Source organism: Homo sapiens, chromosome 2 (assembly GCF_000001405.40).
Source record: "Homo sapiens chromosome 2, GRCh38.p14 Primary Assembly".
Taxonomy (NCBI): domain Eukaryota; kingdom Metazoa; phylum Chordata; class Mammalia; order Primates; family Hominidae; genus Homo; species Homo sapiens.
In genome coordinates this window covers 195,379,767-195,403,726 of record NC_000002.12, presented here as the reverse complement: position 1 = coordinate 195,403,726, position 23,960 = coordinate 195,379,767, and the positions used below count along the sequence as shown (strand labels likewise).

At 36.1% G+C, this 23,960-nt stretch overlaps 1 long non-coding RNA gene across 1 annotated transcript in view; it reads left to right on the top strand.

The window, feature by feature from the left end:
- Positions 1–4,222: 4,222 nt before the first annotated feature.
- The window catches only part of LOC105376755 (uncharacterized), a 673,333-nt gene continuing 653,595 nt past the window's right edge, over positions 4,223–23,960 (top strand). Inside the window, exon 1 of the long non-coding RNA XR_007088699.1 lies at positions 4,223–4,361. This is a non-coding gene — a long non-coding RNA (uncharacterized LOC105376755). The remainder of the gene's footprint in view (positions 4,362–23,960) is intronic.

The window sequence follows — 23,960 nt, the reverse complement described above, 5'->3', positions numbered from 1 at the left end:
AGTTTGAGACCAGCCTGGGCAACGTGGTGAAACCAAGTCTCCACAAAAAATTAAAATGAAAATTAGCCAGGCGTGGTAGCTCACACCTGTGTTTCCAGCTATTCAGGAGGCTGAGGTGGGAGGATTGCTTGAGCCCAGGAAATCAAGGCTGCAGTGAGCTGTGATTGCACCACTGCACTCTAGCCTGGTGACAGAGCTGGACCCTGTCTCAGAAAAAAAAAAAAAAAAAACACAGTTATTAAACTGAAAAATTTCACAGAGAATTTCAACAGCAAACTCCGTCAAACAGAAGAATCAGTGAACTTGAAGATAGGTCATTTGAGGCCAGGTGTAGTGGCTCATGCCTGTAATCCCAGCACTTTGGGAGGCTGAAGTGGGTGGATTGCTTGAGTCCAGGAGTTCAAGACCAGCTTGTGCAACATGCTGAAACTCCTTCTCTAAAAAACAAACAAACAAAAAAATTAGCTGGCCATGGTGGTGTGTACCTGTGGTGGCGTGTGTTTGCGGTCCCACTTACCCTGCCAGCTGAGGTGGGAGGATCACTTGAACGCAGGAGGCTGAGGCTACAGTCAGCTGAGATGGCACCATTGCACTCTAGCCAGGATGACCCAGTGAGACCCTGTCTCAAAACAAACAAACAAACACACAAACAAGATAGGTCATTTGAAACTGCCCAGTCAGAGGAACAAAAAGAAAAAAAGAATGGGGTAAAGAAAACTTACAGGAATTAAAGTACATCATTAAGTCCCAACTCTTATTCAATATCTCAGGCAGCTGCAATGTTGAACAATTGTCTGTGCTTATTTTTGACAAACGTTCCTGGGGAAAAGGCTGTTTGCACAAGATGAGCTCTGAGTCAGGTCAGGTCAAATAAAGCTTGTGAGTGAGATCTTCTAGAGATTCACTAGATACGTCAAATAATGCCCATTCTCTGAGAATGGAACTTTGAAAGAGCTGTGACCCGTTCTGCCCCTTCCATTGGCTTCCAGGCTATTGGTTTTTACCATGGTTGTTTGCTGTTGGTTTTTAAGGCTATTACAGAGTGAAAGAGAAAGAAGTGGAAATAGAACAAATTAAAATGTCACAAAGATCTCTCTTTTTACTGTGATTTAACATTTTTTTTTCCCAGTAAGTGCACCCTGAATTGCTGTAAAACTTTAATTTTCAGAGTTATAAAAAAGTTGATTCTGATCTTTTTTTAGCATTTTCATTACTTTTTTGGAAAAAAGAATTTTTGGCAGTTATTCACCATTTAGTGGACTCACTGATAATATTTAATTAAATAATGTAATTGCAATAATGCTATGGAAGTAAACTGCAGGCTTTGGATAAACATGTGATATAATGGATGGGAACATATATGCACATGCTTATGTGAGAGTCTTACAGACTTTGAGCACTCAACATTCCATGGGTAGATCAGTGTGCTTTAGAAAGGGATTAGGGAGGTCTTTTTGTGAGTGGCTAAGTGGCTATGCATCAAGAAATCATCTGTCGTACACACTTATAACTAAAATGTGATATAGTGAATTTACTTTCTAAGTGCAAATAATCTCTGAGTTTATTGAATAATTCTTAAGTAGGAGATCAGTAGAACATATTCTATTAGCTTTTCAAGGGGTCATAATATTTTGGGTTCTGTATTTTTAAAGTACGGAGGCATGGCAGGTTCTGCATTCAATTTGTAACACAAACTGAGCCTAGAAAAGTTATGAACACTTTAAAAACACTGGAAATAGCACCTTTGTCAAAACTAAATTGACTGTTTTATGAGTCTGTTCTCACGATGCTATAAGGACATATGCAAGACTGGGTAATTTATAAAGGAAGGAGGTTTAATTGGCTTACTGTTCAGCATAGCTGGGGAGGCCTTAGGAAACTTACAATCATTGTGGAAGGGGAAGCAAACACATCCTTCTTCACATGGTGGTAAGGGAGAGAAGAAGTGCTGAGCAAAAGGGGGAAAAGCCCCTTATAAAATCACCAGACATGAGAACTCACTCACTATCACAAGAACAGTATGAGGGTAACTGCCCCCATGATTAAATTACCTCCCACCTCGTCCCTCCCACAACCTGTGGGAATTATGGGAACTACAATTCAATATGAGATTTGGGTGGGGACATAGCAAAACCCTATCAACTATATACATAAAGGTTTATTTTTGGACTCTCAATTTTGCTCCATTTATCTATATATGTCTATCTTATGCCAATATCGCACTGTCTTAATGACTATAACTTTGTAGTAAGTTTTGAAATTGGAAAGTGAAATATCTCCAACTTTGTTCTTTTTCTAAATTATTTTGGCTATTCTAGCTTTGCATTGCCATGTAAATTTTAGGATCTGATTTTCAATTGCTACAAAAATGACCATTGGAATTTTGATAAGGTTGCATTGAATCTATAGATCAATCTGGGGGAAAATTACAATGTTAACAATAGTGAGTTTTCCAATCCATAAACATGAAGTGTCTCTCCATTTGTTTAGATATTTATTTTCTCCTCAGCAAAGTGTTATACTTTCCATGTATGAGTATTATACTTCTTTCATCAAATATATTCCCAAGTGTTTTATTCTTTTTGTATGCTATTGTGAATGGAATGGTATTCTTAATTTCAATTTCAGATTATTTACTGGTCATATATACAGCTTAGTAGATCTCCTTTATTTTTGATGCCTATCAAAGAAATTTATGTGAGAACAGGGCCCTGGGTGATTTAAAGTGCTGCTGTAAATTCTTAAGGTGATAATAAACCTCTCATGGATAAAACCATATCTTATTCATCAGAATATACCTGAAACCCTTAGCATAGGTCTTGCATATAATGGGAACTTATCATTTTATTATTGAATAAACATATGAATTTTGGAACATTATTTTTTCAGTCTAAAACTATTGACTCACATTCGTCAGTTACCTCGATGGAATCTTGATCTGTGTAAGTAATGTGAGTTAAAGATTCATTATAAGCTCTTATCAAGTTAGGAGTTAAAAGTTTTATCATGGATGATAATTAACATTTTATGAAATTACATATTAGCATTAGGGGTTTTGTGACAAATGTTTTTGTTTTATAACATAAACACTTAAAGAAATTTGATAGATGGTAATTGTTTAAGCAAGAGTATACTTGTTGATTTAAAATGTTTCCGGAAATCTAGGTTATAAACTTAGAGGTGTTGCGAAAAGAAAATCTGATGTACCAGTTATTCAGCACACCTAAGTAGCAGTTCCTGAGTTTCTGCTACTGTCTTCACTTATCTCCACCTCATAATACAGAATTTGGGGGCATTTTGAAATTTCAGGGCACAGTAAACCTTAAACTGTCATACTGGATGGCCTTGCCAAAATGTTTACCTCTGTGAACAAGAAAGCTTTTTCTCATACAATGGAACTTAACAACATTTGTAGGATGCATGAGGAAACTTTTTCCATGAGTTGAATAGTGTTTTTTTTGGTAGGACCATCACTTGAGACTACTAACCATGTATGACAGAGCTCATATAAGATCAGTGTCAGTCCCAGTTTACATCTGTAGTACCCATGTCTGTCTGATTGATCATTTGTCCTCGATTTTTGTTTTTTAAAGGCAGTAACTATGTTATTAATATTTACCTCAAAGAAAGCAGGAATGGGTTTGAACATCCTGTTTTGTACTTTCAGCTTTTGCCATGGTCCCTTGCAGATGCTTGTGCAGTGACCAGGGTTCTCATTAAGGTGTATGATAAATAAATTTGAAAAGCAGCAATAACCTGACCCTTTTGGAGGCAATGTATCTGATGCCTTCCATTCAAGAATGGTAGGGAGGGTCCTTGTTGATAAAACAGATCATACAAGCATATGAAATTAGGGACAGCTCACTCCTTCTGGTCTCAGGTGATGGTCGGAAGTGGCCTCTTGAAGTAACAGCCTATTGAGCTATGGCCCATGCTGTGAAATTCATGAAGGCATCACCAATTGCTGGAGTCAGAGGGAAATGGGAATTTTAGCTTAGATGCTCTGTACAGAGAACAGAGGCTGAGCTGCCCTGCACCAGAGAATATCTAGAGATCTGATTGCTCTCCCTACAGTGGTATTGTCACTTATCATAAGTTATAAATCTAAAACTATTTTTACATTTTTAGTATTTGGTAACACTTTTAAATTTTTAATAACTCTCAAAACATCAAAAGTGCATTAAGACGTCAGATTAAGTAGTGCAATTTTTGACTCTTACAGATAATTAATACAAAATATTTGTGGACATTTACCACCCAATGGTGGGCAGGGGGAGCGCATGCTGAAACAATATTAGCATCTGCCTCAAAAATGAATCGTTATTTTAAGAAGATTATGTCTGAAGACCACAATTTAATAGGTAAGTCTGCAGAATGTGTCTACGTACACCACTGTGGAAAGCACAACACTTTATTTATACCAAATAACTACTCTTCTATATTAGTTTTGCTCCTTTTTGATTCTGTTTTCTAGTATACCTATGAAACAATACTGATTGTATATGTGTCAGCTCCATTAGCAGCACTTTGCAATCAGTTAAATGATAACAATTTTTAAAATAGTCTGCCATCAGATACTTAAAATAGAAAATTGTTTGTTTATTCCTATAATGGTTTGATATTTTCATCCAATTCATAGAAGTTAAAGAAAAACGTGGAAGTTCATTTTGTCAAAGCTGAAGCAACTGGCATTAACTATGAATGTTATCAAAAATCCAGTTAAAACAGTTAACACTGTTGATAAAATCATTTGTTTTTCATGGTAATATGCATATATATTTTGGTGGAGCACAGGGTTGTGGTAAAAGCAATGTTCTCATTAAATTAAAACTTGTACTCTGGGATTGGTTGTGATGCAATATTCTATACAATAGGAGCTGAAATTCTACCATTCAAAGTAGAAGTTGTAGTTATAAGAATTTACAAATATTTTAATATATAATTAGGAAACCACATTTTTTGTGATATAGCTAAGTTTTAATTTTAAAAAGTACTGTGGCATGATGGCATGTATTTCTTACTGTCTATTATCAAATGAATTTTAGGAATGTTTAAATCTGAAGAATTTCTTTGTAAATCATCTTAAGTCTAACTGTAATGGTAAAGAAATTTAAACAAGTGCTAAGTTTTTATTGCATTTTCATCAAATTAAGTTGAAAAATTTAATCAATGTAGTAATAAACATAGCTTCCAAAATCTCAGCATTTGAAACTTGTAACAAAGTATAATTACTGCAAAACCTTATGACATTGAACTTTTTCCAGTGACACAACTGAACAAATTAATTTATGATCTCAAATGTAGTATAAGATTTAAATTTGAAATTCTATAGCTGCATATTGCAGTATCATGACTTGTGAGAAGAATCTTTTGATGGAGCTTCTATTTTTAATTAGATAAATTTATGTTTTATGCCAGAATGGAACGAAACTGAGAAGGACTATAATTTTGCAGCATTCAAGTTTGGCAAAGCATTAAAAAGATTCATAAAGAGAGATGACTTATTTGATAAGATTTGTCTTGTAAAAATATTTGTTGAAGAAAAGGCCTTTGAAAAGCACTTTGTGAGGCAAAAGACAGTGCCTGTGAAAATGTTTGGATTTAAATAATCACTAGTACAGAAATTATCATTGATAATATTCTCTGTTTAGCAGAAATTACACTGAGTTTATCAAGCATCTTGGCACCTATCCAGAGAATTCTGTATTTAAAACCTGTGGTCTACAGAGAAGTATCCATTGCAGATGTCAATAATTTTCCAAAATACTGAAGAAAATGCAGGCAGTTTTATGAAACAAAAAAAAAAATTATACAGAAAAATGAAGTCTTCAGAAAAACACCAGGATATAGTATTAGGGAAAAATATTATTTTAAAAATGATGAAAATGATGATAATTTTTCTGCTTTTGTTATTTGTTAGTGTTCACATATTTAATATGAGTTTTAAAAAATGGTTATTTAGTCATTTATTTGTTCTAGAGATGGGTCTAATTCTGTTGCCCAGGCTGGAGTGTAGTGGCTGGAGTGCGTAGCTCACTGCATGTAGCCTAAACTCCTGGGCTCAAGCAATCCTCCTAAGTAGCTGGGACCACAGGCCTGTGCCACCATGCCCTGCTAATATGAGTTTTTAAAATTGTGTTTAGTATACATGAACATGGTTATTTTCAGTTTTTTAGAGAATTTTTTTAAAAAAGTAGTAGTTGGATAGTACTATTTAAATAGTCTAACAATATAATGCAAATAATTTGTTGATCAATAATCTTTCAAAAAAATCAGGTAATTTTAATTACTTTTAATGCCTTCTTTCTCTTCATGAGTTCCAGCTTGGATGAGTAATTGGCCTACATATAAGGGATATGATAGCAAAAGATCTTTGTCTTGAGATTCATCCTGGACCAACTGTACTCAGCACCCAAGTAGCTTCTATCAGTTCTGTGCCTGACTTGGCACATTTTGTTTGCTTCCCATTCTCTGTTAGCCTGTGCTACACTGATTTCCTTGACAATTTCTCCCTCAGAAATCCCATGGGTATAGCCTGATGTTTGAGTCCTTTCCAAGTGTGCTTTGGTTCCAGAATTTTTGAGTTGTGTACTAGGTAGTGTTGTTGATTGCCAGTCTTTAGTTTTCATCATTATCATCTTTTAAATTTGTTCATGTTTTATCCCCACCCTCCCAAAAGAATGTATTAGATGTTTCAAAGATTCTTCCCTTAGTGTTTAATTCATTTCTACTTTACTCAGATTAACCTAAAGCAGATAACCTGATATTCAGGTCAATGTTCTACAAATAGAACTACTTGCTTGCATTTTAATTTGTTAATTATTTGTAATAATGAATTAAGTATTATATTTTTCTGCCCATCCTAATTCTAGGAAAATCTCTTTATATAAACAACTATTCGTTAGATTCAGCAAGGCCACTGTTGTATCAGGAAATTTAATTAACGTGAGTTTGTCATCCTTCTGGAATACCAAGGAAGTTTCTGTCTATTAAGGCATTCTGCTAAAAATATTGCCAGCTGCAATTATGATAAAATTCATCCCTGGAAATCAATTTTTGTTTGTGATTATTTCATGATTTATAACCCTTTCTGTAAAAATTATACCTTCCTTGTTGATGATATGCAGCCACTGCTTTTGTAAAAAACCAAAACTAATTATAAGGCAAAAACTTCAAAATATATTCCAAGTGTTACTTTAATCCTTATAAATATGCCATGAATAGCTCATATAAAAGATCATAGCTTTTTTGTAACCCATATGTTGTAAAATACTGCTGATGGGATATCACAGTAAATAACAACATTTTTCACTCAACAAATGATCAAGGAAAATTTTTTTCACACTGCTTGGATTAGCTATACTTTACTGTTGTAACTTAAGATACTCAAGTATACTGACAGAACTTACCAAAATTCCAGGCTGTGTGCATGTGACTTAGTATACTTATACCACAGTAATATCATGTCACTTTGTGGGCCTTGGAGAGAGTAAGGAGGGTACCACATGGGAAAGGTTTATATGACACTTTGGGTTTAATATTTCTATACTAGTAGTGTCCAAGATGATTTATTCTTCTCTCATCTAACTGTCTGTTGACATGACAGTCTCCTTGGAGAGGTTGGAGATACTGGTTTCCATTGCTTAGAGCACAGTTTTCCCCTTTGGCTTGAGATTCCTAAGTGCTGCATTTGAAACTATCCTTACAATGATACTAACAGCAAATGAAACTTTGTAGACTGTGTGTGCTATATAAACTCAACATAAAAGCTTCAACTTGCTTGTTACAAAGGTGCTAGATAATAGAATCACTTTAGATATTTCCTCACTAAATAAGGTAGCATTTGTGTTCTGGTTACTCCTATTGCATTTGTATCCTAATGTATAATCCAAGAACAAATCAATTTGATGTCCAAGGTAGGGAAAACCAACCCTTTGGATATTGTACTTTTGGGCTTGTCCAAATAAAAAACAACTGTCTAAGGGGTGCTTTATAAACATTTGTTATGTTGTACCTAGAGTTGTTGCCATTTTCCAGTGTATTGTTTGTTAATAGGGCCTTAAGTGCCTTTGGGCTTCCATCATCCTTTTGGTTCATATGTCAGATAATTCTACCTCAAAAGAAAATCCAGTTAACTTAAATAAACACAATGGAATTTTGGGAGTCTGACACTTAAAACCAACATGGTGATGCAACTCTAAAATCTGATGATTTGCTTATCTTTTGTGTGTTCATTTTGTTGCCTTAGGGTGTAGAAACATCAAGAAGAGGGACTGGAAAAATAACTTTTTTAAGTCACAGCTACCCTTTCCTAGGAGATATAAAAGCTGAATGTTGTGGGGCTTCATCACAGTTGATGCCAATCAACCGAAGCTAATAAATGTCCATGAACTTAGTGTAATTCCAGTATGCCAGAACCCTAGTAAGCCTAAATGAAGCCTCTTTCCTGACAAATGAGCAATGAAACATTTTTCCCCCACTGACTAAAGATTTCATTTTATTAAAAAAATACTAACATGTCATAAACTTATCTTTGTGTATATGTGTGTATGAGTTTTAACTCTTCTATAGATGTGTGTAATTACCATTATAATCAGTACACAGAACAAATCCATTGCTCCCCAAAATTTCTTCTTGCTGACCTTTTGCAGTCAAATACTGTCCTTATCCCTAATCCTTGTTGACCACTAGTCTTTTTTCTGTTTCCATATTTTTGTTTTTTCTTGGATGTTGTGTATATGAAATCATATTGTTTACAGCCTTTGAAACTGGCTTCTTTCACATAACACGCTTTATTACCCATTCACTTATTGAAGGATATATTTTTCCCTTTCCCCTTCCTTTCCTGTTTTTGGAGGTTATGAATAAGGCTGCCATAAATATTCCCCTTCCCTTTCCTTTCCTGTTTTTGGAGGTTATGAATAAAACTGCCATAACTATTCATGTATTGGTTTATGTATGAAATACATTTTTATTTCTTGTATGAAATGTGAGATTTCTGTGTCATGTGATAGGTGTATGTTTAATTTTTTAAGAAACTGTCAAATGATTTCCCAAAACATTTGTACCACTTTGTATCCTCTCCTGGCCCCAGCAATGTATAAGAGTTCTATTTACTCTGCATCCTTGACAGCACTTGGTATTTGTAGTTTTTTGAATTTGAGTTACTCAAATTGATTTGCAGTGATATCATATTATGGTTTTAATTTGAATTTTTCTGAAGACCGATGATGTTGAGCATATTATCATGTGTTTATTTTCCATTTGTATATTTGCTTTAGTAAAATGTTGCTTTAAATCTTTTGCCTAATTTCTAAAAACCGGGCTCTTATTACTGAATTTTAAGAGTTTTTTAAAAAACATGTAAATTCTGAATACAAGCCCTTTGTGGGAATTGGGGTTTGTTTTAACAGACTGTTTACAAATAATATGTATTTATTTGATTCTATACAGAGTAATTTTTAATACTTAACTAGCATAAACACCATGAACTCCTCTTTTCTAGTAATTACTCTGACTTTTTTCCTTCAGTCAAGTGCTCAGTAACTTTTTTTCATTGGCCTATGTTCTCTTCTCTGGCAAGTTAGTAGATTTGGAATTTAACAACAACAACAAATCTGGCAGCCTTTTTATTTTTTTCATTGTTTGACAGAATGAATCCTGACTGTCATCTCCCAAACAGGCTGCCTTGGACACGCTGCTTAATCTCCCAGAGTTTCAATTTACATCACTATAAAATAAAATGCCTCTTAAAATTTTTGTAAAGATTAAATAAGGTAAGGTCTATAAAGTGCTTAATTAGGGCCTGGTACATATTGGAAGTTCAATAAATATCTCTCCTGTATCAATAATATTAGTTGTGGCTGCTCTCATATACTTTAACCACATATTTAGTCTTGCAGGTTAATGAATGCATAGGAAACACAGTTTAGAAAAACAGTTAATCTGACAGAAAAATCAGATGTTCAATAATGGAGGTATTTCAGATTTCTAGTATTCTCTGCCAGATATTATAGTTCTGTGACTAGCTATTTAGGAAGTCAGGAAATTGGCCTCAGTCTCTGATGGACAACTGCATAATGTACTTCCTTAGTAAACTCAATTAGAGCTATAGCTATGGATGGGGAGAGGCCAAAAATAGTGATTATAGCTTGTGAAAGCATTAGCAGTCCAATAATTGTATAATGAAGAGCAAGCGAGTACTTCCACAATTACGGGAGAAACATAAAGTGCTTAGTTAAATAGTTATTTGGTGTTAATCAAAGATTGTTTTTCTGGCAGTAAATTACTAGTCGTGATTTTATTTACCCTGAATAACTAAATTATCTTAGATTTTCCTAATATAAATGTAAAAATTTTAAGAATTTTTTTTTGTCTTTTAAATGTATTCTTTTTTAAAGCATCCAAGTCTATCATTTAACTTTGGAAGACAGTGCAAAGGGGGATAAACTTTAGAAAAATAGTAAATTCATGCCAGGGAAAAAGCCTCCTGTGGCCAGTTCCAAGATTCATCCTTCATAGGTCATTTGTGAGAAAAAGAGAAAAGAGAGCAATTGAGAAAGAGAGAGCGAGAGAGAGAGATGGTTAATCATTGTTGGGCTATATCAGTGGTTTCCAAACTTTATTACACATTGGACCCATCTAGGAGAGAAGCTTTAAAAGATATTGGATATTGATACCTGGCTTCTATCCCTGTACATTCTGATTTAATTAGTATGGGGTTTTGATCTGGATGTTGAGAATTAGAAAACCTTCCTGGGTGATTCTTATGTGCAGTAAAATTAGAAGTCACTGGATTAGATATAAATGAAAGAAAAAGTTTGGTTAAGGGTCACTCTTGACTGACAGCTGTGTGGGAAGGAAATGGTGTCCCATAACAAGATTTTTATTAAACTTCACAAGAAATTTGCTTAAGCATTTTGCCAGAAATGTTAATTTCTTCCCCAAAGGAAGAAAGGTTGGCTTTCGTACCAGGTGTGAGACAGTTTTTCTCCTTCAGAGGAAATTGCACTGGAGTAGGAATTAAGCAGCTTGATTCTTGACCTGTCTCTGGTTCTTACCTGCCTCACTCACTAGCTGAGTTACACTGGGAACTTTCTAACCTCACTAGTCTTCAATTTACTCATCAGTAAGTGATAATATAAGACTAGGTAAATTTTATAATATTTTCTGGCTCTGAAATCCTAGCCTGCTTCCAGTGTGACAAGATTTACAAATGTTTTACCAGCTAGTCACTAATTTTATGGATCTTGAGGATGTCTTTCAACATGGGATAAAAGCCATATCAGCCCACCATTGCCCAGAACTTTGGAAGTATAGAAGCAGATGGATTTGTTTTGACCATGACACAGAGGACTATCTGATGGCCCACCATAGCCAAGAAAAGAAACATTTAATGAACACTCCATATTCCTTCTCTGCAATAAATATATCCTCCTGGATGAGGAGGGAATGGAATGCTGATGGGTTTCTGAGACTCCTTCCTTGTAAACCATTTCGAGTTCTCTGGAATCTGGGTTTAGTACAAGTAAAAAATGAAAAGTAAAAAGCCCCACAGTTAGGGTTTGTAGAGGGAGTATGGATTTTCTAAATATTGAAAGCTTCCATTAGTATACTGAAAGCTAGATCTGGTGGGCTTGAATGTTGTTTGTATAAGTCAGGAATAATGGAAATTTTCTGCCATGCAGGAAGGGAGGATAGTTTTCTCCTTGTAAGTCTGATGGAATGAGGAGAGGGAAAGTGAGTGAGACAAAAATGTCAGGTTCAGAGGATGGTGGGTGTGGATAATATGCATCTGGAAGAAACTTCACAATGGACTTTGGAGCTACGTCTAACATAATAAGGATGAACTAGTGCAGTGCTGGTGGAAAGGGGTGGGTAGTTAGTATGCACATATAAGCAGCAAAATATTGCTTTACAAACTAAAAATTTATATTGAAGTTATTATTATTAAAGTGATTTTATTGTAAGAATCTTTTGCAAGCTACTTATTTCACTTGTTATATTTTTTGAAATATATACAGATTGATAAATGTAGTACTTTTCATTTATTATAAGTGCTATTCATTATTCCAGTGAATGACCACACCACAATTTATTAATTTTTTGTCCAGTAAATGGGCATTTAAAAAGCATACTGTTTTGTTTTTTTTTTTCATTTACAAACAGTGATGCAGAACATGTCTTTGTTAATCTCACATGTTCTCAGGTGTTTATCAAGTGAAGGTCAACTGCTCTACTCACAATGACCTTATCTACCTAATTTTCACCTAGATTCCAGTATTCACCTTCTTCCGTTCCCCTTTCTTGCTAGAAGTGATAACAGCCTCTGCTACCCCTAGTCCTCGGTTAGTGTTTATCTCTTATAGTTCCCTTTATATCCATAAATTTATAAAGAGTTCTTTTGTAAAAGGGGTTGGGACAGATTCAGGGTGTTGCTTCCAGCAAAGTTTGCTTTTGTTTGTGCTATGCATCCAGCCTACACCACTTTAGAGTTAATTTCTTAAATCAGAGACTCCTAGGCCATGTGGTAATGTACATTCAAATTTCAAATTTATGTATGCACAGACCTGGTGTTAAAAATTCTCAGAGGAGATAATTTTCTACCCAGAGCCCATACAAAACAAATGACTTATGTATTTCCCATTGCTAATGGGTAGATCTATTTTTATTCCACCCTTTCACTGAAGGTGTAGGCTTCTAGCATCCAAGCACCACATTTGTCAATGTGTGCATGTGTGCGTGCATGTTTTTGTGAGTGTTTTTGGTGTCTTGTGGGAGGGAGGGATGGTAGTCCCAGTTCTAAATTTCAGCTTCTCTCAAAACAAAGACCTTTTGTTCTTTACCCTTGTGGTCATGACGATCCATGTGTCTACATTTACAAGGATTGGCAGAACTCCCCAGACAGCCACACTGACAACTCATATAACACAATTGTAGTTTTTCCTTTTCTTTTCTGGTCCCAAAGCATTTGTCTTATTTTCTTGTGAATGCATCATCTATGCTTTTCAGATAATGTTTCTTATATTTTACCAAGTGTTTTAAGTCATTTTGGGGGCCATTTTTCTGGTTGTTGTGTGAGCACATCTTCCATTTCACTAGGTATTACCAAAATTGCTTTCCAAGTAAGTAGTAGTACCAATTTGCCCTCCCACATGTTGTTCCATGCCCTCACTAACAATTGATAATGAAGAGGTGAATTAAAAAAGACTCAATCATAAAGTATTGTCAGATATAAAAAATTGTCAGATAAGTTAATATTATCATAAATGGTATCTCACTGTTTGTTAATGTGTGTTTCCCTAATTATAAGAGATATTGGCCATCTTTATATATATATATATATATACTAAGACTAAAAGGTATACTATAGTTTTCTACTGAGGGAATTGTTTTTTCACATTCTTTGTTCATTCCTGCCCTTTCCTAATTGGGCTTTTGGTCTTTTTTTGATTAGTTTGTGGATTTTAAAAATATATATCCTGGTGTGACTCCTTTGTGGTTTATTTGGGTTACAAATATTTTCTTCCCAACTTGTGGCTTATTTTTCTACTTTATGTATGGTAGGTAGATTTCATTTTACTACTTTACTTGTGGAGTTTATTTCATTGTTTTATTCCTAAGTATCTTAAATTGTTCATCTTTAGAGCCTTGCAAATCACCACTGATCTTTGCAAAAAATAATTTTGCTCTGGTACTAATTATTAAAATATATTATTAACCTCAGATTGTATAATCTATACTCTTTGTTTTTAGATAATGCTCTTTCTGTTCATCTTTTGAAATTATAAGTTGTTACACACAAATATTTCCGTATTTCAATGATTCTATTAAATACATGGTGCAAGGCTTATTCTCAGAGGCAGTTTGTATGACAAATTTAGCAGTAAAATTTGGTATACTTTCAATAATGACCCTATATATGTGCTTCCCTGAATAGAATGCTATAAGAAAAATAACAAAAGTTAAGCAAGAAGATCATGGTTGAATTATAATTTATTATGATTATTGCTAATAATTAACAATAGTAAAAATTATACATGACACATTCATTTTTATTAATATAAATAACAAAGTAGAAATGAAGAAAATTTAGAAAATAGAGAAAAGTAGAAAAACATTATTCATAATCTTATTGTATTAGTTCATTTTCACGCTGCTGATGAAGATATACCTGAAACTGGGAACAAAAAAAATGTTTAATTGGACTTACAGCTCCATTTGGCTGGGGAGGCCTCAGAATCATGGCAGGAGGTGAAAGGCTCTTCTTACATGGCTGTGGCAAGAGAAAATGAGGAAGAAGCAAAAGCAGAAATCCCTGATAATCCCATCAGATCTCATGAGACTTATTAACTATCATGAGAATAGCATGGAACGACCAGTCCCCATAATTCAATTACATCCCCTTGGGTCCCTCCCACAACACATGGGAATTCTGGGAGATACAATTCAAGTTGAGATTTGGTGGGGACATAGCCAAACCATATCATTCTGCTCCTGACCTCCAAATCTCATGTCCTCACATTTCAAAAACCAATCATGGCTTCCCAACAGTCCCCCAAAGTCTTAACTCATTTTAGCGTTAACCCAAAAACCCACAGTCCAAAGTCTCATCTGAGACAAGGCAAGTCCCTTCCGCCTATGAGCCTGTAAAATTAAAAGCAAACTAGTTACTTCCTAGATACAATGAGGGTACAGGTATTGGGTAAATACAGCCATTTCAAATGGGAGAAATTAGCCAAAACAAAAAGGGGTTACAGGGCCCATGCAAATTTGAAATCCAGGGGGGCAGTCAAATTTTAAAGCTCCAAAATGATCTCCTTTGACTCCAGGTCTCACAATCAGATCACACTGATGCAGGAGGTGGGTTCCCATGGTCTTGAGCAGCTCTGCCCCTGTGCCTTTGCAAGGTACAGACTTCCTTCAGGCTGCTTTCACCGGCTGGTATTGAGTGTCTGTGGCTTTTTTAGGTGCACGGTGCAAACCGTGGGTGTATCTACTGTTTTGGGTTCTGGAGGACAGTGGCCCTCTTCTCACAGCTCCATTAGATAATGCCCCAGTAGGGACTCTATGTGGGGGCTCCCACCCCACATTTCCCTTCCTCACTGCCCTAGCAGAGGTTCTTCATGAGGGCCTCACCCCTGTAGCAAACTTTTGCCTGCGCACCCAGGCATTTCTATAAATTGTCTGAAATCTAGGCGGAGGTTTCCAAACCTCAATTCTTGACTTCTGTGTACTCCCAGGCTCGATACCACATGGAAGCTGCCGAGTCTTGGGGCTTGTACTCTCTGAAGCCACAGGCTGAGCTCTATGTTGGCTCCTTTCAGCCATGGCTGGAATGACTGGGACACAGGGCACCAAGTCCCTAGGCTGCACACAGCATAGGACCCTGGGCCAGGCCCACAAAACCACTTTTTCTCCCTGGCCTCTTGGGCCTGTGATGGGAGGGACTGCCTTGAATGTCTGTGACATGGCCTAGAGACATTTTCCCCATGGTCTTGGGGATTAACATTAGGCTCCTTGCTATTATGCAAATTTCTGCAGCTGGCTTGAATTTCTGCCCAGCAAATGGGATTTTTTTTTTTTTTTTTGCATAACCAGGCTGCAAATTTTCTGAACTTTTCTGTTCTGCTTTCTTATAAAACTTGATGCCTTTAACAACCCAAGACACTTCTTGAATGCTTTGCTGCTTAGAAATTTCTTCCATGAGAAACCCTAAATCATCTTTCTCAAGTTCAAAGTTCCACAAATCTCTAGGGCATGGACAAAATGTCACCAGTCCCTTTGCTAAAACATAACAAGAGTCACCTTTACTCCAGTTCCCAACAAGTTCCTCATCTCCATCTGACACCACCTCAACCTGAATTTTATTGTTCATATCACTATCAGCATTTTGGGCAAAGCCATTCAACAAGTCTCCAGGAAGTTCCAAACTTTCCCACATTTTCCTGTCTTCTTCTGAACCTTCAAACTGTTCCAACCTCTGCCTGTTACCCAGTTCCTAAGTCACTTCCACATTTTCGGGTATCTTTTCAGCAATACCCCATTCCCGGTACCAATTTACTGTATTAGTTCGTTTTCATGCTGCTGATAAAGACATACCCAAAACTGGGAACAAAAAGGTTTAAATGGACTTACACTTCTACATGGCTGGGGAGGCCTCAGAATCATGGCAGGAGGCGAAAGGCTCTTCTTACATGGGCGCAGCAAGAGAAAATGAGCAAGAAGTGAAAGCAGAAACCCCTGATAAACCCATTAGATCTCATGAGACTTATTAACTATCATGAGAATAACATGGGAAAGACCTGCCCCCATGATTCAATTACCTCCCCCTAGGTCCCTCCCACAACACATAGGAATTCTGGGAGATAAATTCAAGTTGACATTTGGAAGGGGACATAGCAGCCAAACCATATTACTTATCTTCTGAACACAATCAGTATTAAAGTTTTGATGTTTTCCTCTTAGCTTTCCTTTATATGCATAAAGTTCCTCCAACGCAGATATAATGAATCTATACACAATCTTGCATTCTGATCTTTTACTTAATTGTATAAGTATTTATTCATATTATGACATAATATATTTCTTACTTTAGGAAAGACTTGAAGCAGTTTAAGCAATAATTCAAGATAAAACATTTAAAGATAAAGAGGAAGGGCTAATCTGATAGAAGTAGGTTCTCTCTGGCATCTGTCAGACAGGTTATAGCATTAGGACTATGAATTTTCATTTAACATTTCTCTCAGCTATGTTGAGATGGGTAGCTTGTGGGTATTATTATTTATTTGACAAATGAGAACATTCTTACTAATATAGAAAACAATGGGCATGTGTTGTTAAACACAGTATTTTTCATGAAATTAAACTTAATGTAGAAATTTATTATACATGGGAGTATAGCTAGGGTGACCATATACTTTATTTTCTGAACCAGGGCACTTTTGACAGTATATAGAAGCTCTCTGTTATTAATTACTGGAGCAGGCTGGGTAGGGGAGCTCACTCTTGTAATCCCAGCTCTTTGGGAGGCTCAGATGAGAGGATCTCCTGAGGCCCAGAGTTTGAGACCAAACTGAGCCGCATAATGAGATCTCATCTCTACAAAAAAGAGAAAAAAGAAAAATCAGATGTGGTGGCACAGACCTGTAGTCCTAGCTACTCAGGAGGTTAAGGCAGGAGGATCACTTGAGCCCAGGAAGTTGATGCTGTGATAACCATGATTGTGCCACTGCACTCTAGCCTGGGTGACAGAGTGAGACTTTGTCTCAAAAAACAAACAAACAAAAAACAAAAAAAACCCCACAAAAAAACCCCAAAAATTGGGACAGTAGGACAGCAGAAATAAGCTAGGATTGTGCTGGTGAGGCCGGAATATATGTTATATGGCTGACATGGCTTTGCTGTTCAGACCTCAATCCTTAAACTCTCTTACACAGCTGTGCATTTTTTTCACGTGGTTCCTTTTTACATAAATAACGTGCAAATATGACAACATAATCTGACATTGCTGAAAAATGGAAGATTTACCAAAAGATCTGTCTTTTGTGTTGGGTACTAATGGGTTCAAATACAATCACTCTTCCAGGTCATTAATCTATATACTTAAATACATTTATGATGACTCGAAGATAGAGTTGACTCTATAGTATTGGTTTCAATGTTTTCTAGTCTTTGAAAATATATTTCTTCTGTTACGTTATGGATTTTTTTTATTATAGATTTGATAGATACTGTTAGCTGCTCCTAACATTGTCTTCTTACCTATTATCGAACTCTTAATCTTTAACTAAGTATAGTGCTACCTGAAATACATACATATCTTATTATATTGCTCATTGCTTTGCAGTACTTTGCAAACACTGTGCTTTTTACAAATTGAAGGTTTGTGGCAGCTCTGCTTTGAACGAGTCTGTCGTTTATTTTTCCAACAGCATGTGCTCACATTGTGCCTCTGTGTCACGTTTTGGTAATTTCTTGCAATATTTCAAAATTGTTTATTATTATTATTGTTGTTGTTGTTACATCTGTTATGATGAACTGTTATCAGTGATCTTTGATGTTACCACTGTAATTGTTTTGGTGCACCTTAATTAAGACAGCAACTTAATTGATAAATGTTGTGTGTGTTCTGACTACTCTACTGATTGATTGTTCTCCCATCTCTCTCCCATCTCCCTGGACCTCCTATTCCCTGAAACAAAACAATATTGAAATTAAGCCAATTAATAACCTAAAATGGTCTCTAAGTGTTCGAGTGAAAGGAAGAGTTACATGTGTCTCACTTTAAATCAAAAGCTAGAAATGATTAAGCTTAGTGAGGAAGAAGAAGATAAACTCAGGCTAAAACTAGCTGGCCTACAAGTATAGATGAAAAGAAACACAATTCTGCCAAGGAAGGCTGTGTTTTCAAGCCCTTTAAAAAGACCTTTCATTAGGAGTTCTGTGCCAGAAGCTGTGTAGCAGCAAAAATTAGATTTAGATATTGCCTTCCATTGGCTTTAAGGCACATACCTTTAAGAGAAATGAGGGGAAGAGTTATTTTATGAGGCCAGTAACTGCAAGAGTAAATGTCTAGACTTAAAATATATTTCTAGATAAGATTTTTGGGGTGGGTCATATGCATAGGAAATTGATGTGAAAGAAGTAGATTAAAATTTTACTAAAATTTCAAAGAATTTCTTGCCAAAGTAGCAAGGACTCTGATGAAAATGGGAACACAACATACCAAAACCTATGGGTTGAAGCAAAAGCGGTTCTGAGAGGGAGATTTCTAGCAATAAATACCTATATCAGAAAAAGAGAAAGATCTTAAATAAACAACCCAATATTATACCTCAATGAACTAGAAAAAGAAGAACAATGTAAGCCCAAATTTAGCAGAAGGCAGGAAATAAAGATCAGAGCAGAAATAAATGCAATAGAGATTAGAAACACAATACAAAAATAAATGGAAGCAAGAGTGGGTTTTTTGAAAAAATAAAATTGACAAACTCTTAGTTAGATTAACTACAAAAAGAGAGAAGACTCAAATAAATAAGGTCAGAAATGAAAGATGAGACATTACAACTGATATTACAGAAGTACAAATGATCATAGAAGATTATTGATATGGTTTGGATCTGTGTTTCCACCCAACTCTTATGTTGAATTGTAATCCCCAATGTTAGAGGTGGGGCCTGGCGGGAGGTGATTAGATCATGGGGGTGCATTTCTGATGAATGGTTTAGTACCATCGCCTTGGTACTGGCCTCATGATAGGGAGTGAGTTCTTGCAAGATCTGGTTGTTTAACAGTGTGTGGCACCTCCCCACTCTTGCTTCCTTGCTCCTGCTTTCGCTGTGTGATGTGCCTGCTCCCGCTTCACCTTCCATCATAATTGAAACTTCCTGGGGCCTGTCCAGAAGCAGATACTGCAATGTTTCCTGTACAGCCTACAGAACCATGAACTAATTAAACATTTTTTTCTTAATAAATTACCCAATTTCAGGTATTTCTTCTTCTTCTTCTTTTTTCTCATAAAACTTATGACTCAAAGGTATTTCTTTATAGGAATGCAAGAATGGCCTAATTACTATGAACAATTATATGTCAACAAATTGGATACCCTAGAGAAATGGATAAATTCTTAGACACATAGAACCTACTAACACTGAATCAAGAAGAAATAGAAAATAAGAACAGACCAATGATGAGTGAGGAGATTGAATCAATAATTTAAAAAGTCTCCCATCAAAAAAGCAAACAAACCCAGGACCAGATGCCTTTATGGCAAAATTCTACCAAACATTTAAAGAAGAACTAATATCAGGCTTTCTCAAACTCTTTGAAAACATTGAAGAGAACCAGTATACTTTTGACTCTTCTTTGAGGCCAGCATTACCTTGTTACCAAAGTCAGGCAAGGACATTACAAGAAAAGAAAATTACAAGTCAATATCCCTGATGAACATAGATAGAAAAGTTCACAGCAAAATACAACCAAACTGAATTCAACAGCACATTAAAAGAATTATACACTTTGATGAAATGGGGTTTACCCCAGGGATGCAAGTATAATTCAATATACACAAATCTATAAATGTGATACACCACATTAAAAGAGTGAAAGGCAAATATCATAGGATCATCTCTCTAGATGCAGAAAAAAGCATTTGACACAATTCTACATCCTCAACACTCTCCACAAATTAAATATAGAAGAAATATACCCCAACACAATAAAGGCCATATATAACAAGTTCATAGCTTACATTATGAAAAGTTGAAAGCTTTTACTCTAAGATAAGGAACAAAACAAGGCTGTCCATTTCCACCAGTTCTATTAAATAAAACACTGAAGGTCCTTGCCAGAGCAATTAGTTAAGAAAAAGAAAAGGCATCTAGGCCAGGTGCGGTGGCTTACGCCTCTAATCCCAGCACTTTGGGAAGCTGAGGCAGGCAGATCACAAGGTCAGGAGATCGAGACCATCCTAGGTAACACGGTGAAACCCCGTCTCTACTAAAAATACAAAAAAATTAGCCAGGTGTGGTGGTGGGCACCTGTAGTCCCAGCTACTCAGGAGGCTGAGGCAGGAGATACCTGGGAGATGGAGCTTGCAGTGAGCTGAGATCGAGCCACTGCACTCCAGCCTGGGTAACAGAGTGAGACTCCGTCTCAAAAAAAAAAAAAATTTAATCAAGGAGGTAATGGTCTGTACACTAAAACAATGAACATTCGTTATTTTATTATTTTATTTTATTTTTTATTTTTTGAGATGGGGTCTTGCTCTGTCACCCAGGCTGGAGTGCAATGGCATGATCATGGCTCACTGCAGCCTTGACCTCCTGGGCTCAAGTGATCCTCCCATCTCAGCCTCCTGAGTAGCTAGGACTATAGGAATGCACCACTATTCCAGGCTAATTTTTTAAAAGATTATTTGTAGAGATGAAATCTTACTATGTTGTCCAGGCTGGTCTTGACTCCTGGGCTCAAGTTACCTTCCTACCTTGGCCTCCAAAAGTACTGGGATTATAGGCATGATCCACCGCAACTGGACTGTTATTTATTTATTTATTTTTTAGTAATGTATTTAGTATTGAATGTTTTCCCAACTGAAAGTACCCAAAAGTGAGGTTCCTGAGTTTACTTGACATCTAATGCCACCAACTCTTCACCAAAAGCAAGAATCAGAAAAGCATCTATCACTTACCTGGCAGTGTAGTAAGTAACTTCCTTGTTAAACTGTCTGGAAGCACCTGATTGTGTTCTCTGAGGGAATCTTTCTTCTTCCTTATCTACCTGTGTTCGTGACCTCTGACCTCGCCTGCTCAGAGGTACTTCCTTGCTCATTTTCCTCTGTGACCACATCTGAGATGCACATCACAAGCATCCCCTGCTTGGGGGAGCTGCACAGCCTTGGGAGTGTGCTTTGTTCTGTTTCAGATGGTTGTGGAGGGAACAGGAAGTTGCACAGGCTCATCACAAGTGGTTGAAAAGGCTTGTACAAGAAATAATTCTTGTTTCTTTTTCTTTTCTTTTTATTGACAATTTATAATCATATATAATTCTGTGGTACACAGTGATGTTATGATGTATGTATACAGTGTAAAGTGATTGAACCAACTAATTAACATTTCAGTTACCTTAAATACTTATTATTTATTCCTTCTGTCTAACTGTAACTTTCTACTCTTTGATCAACATCTCTCCATTCTGCCTAACCCCCAGCCTCTGGTGACCAACCATTCTACTCTCCACTTACATGAGTTTGATTATTTTAGATTCCACATAAAAGTGAAAACATGCAATTGTTGTCTTTCTGTGCTTGGCTTATTTGACTTGACATAATGTCCTCTGAGTTCATCCATGTTGTTGCCAATGACATAATTTCTTTTTTTTTTAAAGGCTGACTAGTATTCCATTGTGTATGTGTTTCTTTATGTTTGTGTATGTGTGTGTAATACATTTTCTTTATCCATTCATCCATTGATAAACACTTAGGTTAATTTTGTAACCTGACTATTGTAAATAATGCTGCAGGATATGGGAGTGCAGATATCTCTTTAAAATATTGATATCAAGTTTTTAGGGTATATACCCAGAAGTGGTACTGGATCACATGGTAATTCTGTTTTTAGTTTTTGCAGGACCTCCATACAGTTTTCCATGACTGTACTAGTTAACATTCTCTTAATATTGTACAGCGTTCCCTTTTCTCCACATCCTCACTGACACTTGTTATCTTTCATATTTTTGACAATTGTCATTCTACAGGTATTAGATGGTAGCTCATTATGGTTTTAATGTGCATTTCCCTAGTGATCAGTGATGTTCATCTTTGTTATTGTGATGTTCTTGGCACTTTCATTGAAAATCAATTGACCAAAACAAACAATCCCATCAAACAGTGGGCTAAGGACATGAATAGACAATTCTTGAAAGAAGATATACAAATGGCCAACAAACATAGGAAAAAATGCTCAACATCACTAATCATCAGGGAAATGCAAATCAAAACCTCAATGCCATACCACCTTACTCTTGCAAGAATGGCCACAATCACAAAATAAAAAAACAGTAGATATTGGCGTGGATGCGGTGAACAGGGAACACTTCTACACTGCTGGTGGGAATGTAAACTAGGACAGCCACTATGGAAAACAGTGTGGAGATTTCTTAAAGAACTAAAAGTAGAACTACCATTTGATCTAGCAATCCCACCTCTGAATATCTACCCGGAGGAAAAGAAGTCATTATACGAAAAAGATACTTGCACATGCATGTTTATAGCAGCACAGTTCGCAATTGCAAAATTGTGGAACCAACCTAAATGCCCATCAATTGACGAGTGGGTAAAGAAACTGTGATATATTTATACAATGGAATACTACTCAGCCATGGTTAGGAATGATTTAATGGCAGTTGCAGCAACCTGGATGAGATTGGAGACTGTTATACTAAGTAACACAGGAATGGTATGTTCTCATTGATATGAGGGAGCTAAGCTGTGAGGACACAAAGGCATAAGAATGATACATTGGACTTTGGGGACTTAGGGGGAAAGGGTGGGAAGGGAGTGAGGGATAGAAGACTAAAAATAGGGTGCAGTGTATACTACTCGGGTGATGGGTGCACCAAAATCTCACAAATCACTGCTAAAGAACTTACTCATGTAACAAAATACCACCTGTACCTAAATAACTTATGGAAAAGTTTTTAAAAATCAATTGACCATAAGTGTGTGGGCTTCTTTCTGAGTTCTCTACTCTGTTCCATTGGTCAGTGTTTCTATTTTTATGCCAATACTATGTATAAACAAAGGATTTTTTCAAAAAATGTCAATCACTGTAACTTTCAAATATAGGTTGAAGTCAGGTAGTGTAATGTCTTCAGCTTTTTTTTTTCCTCAAGATTGTCTTGGTTTGTTTTTTATGGTTCCATATGAATTTTTAAATTGTTTTTTCCTGTTTATGTGAAAAATGACATTGAAATTTTAGTAAGGATTACATGGTTCAGTCACCTAGAGATTATCTGCATCTCACAGATAAGATTATTTTCTGGGGCTGCTTTCTGGAAATGAAAGCAGTCTATGGTGGGCTCTTCCATCCCCTGTCAGGTGAATAAACTCAAAGGATATGTGAACCTCTTCTTCACAACAAAAGAAGACAAACATTGTAGTAGATGAGGCATAACACTGTTTGCCTTTGCAAAATTACAAGATGGGCTTTTCCTAATCATAAGAAACCAATTTTCCAATGTCAGTCTTACAAGGAGTGGAAGTTTCTCACTTTCAAAGGTCACCATGGCTAAGTGATCTTTTTAGAAACCATCTCTAAGACAGGCTTACATAAATCTTTTTCAGATATATAGTCATAAAAAGACCATATTTAACCCTAAGTTGAAAACATAGACCATTGTATTAGTCCATTCTCACACTGCTATAAAGATACTACCTGAGATTGGTTAATTTATAAACAAAG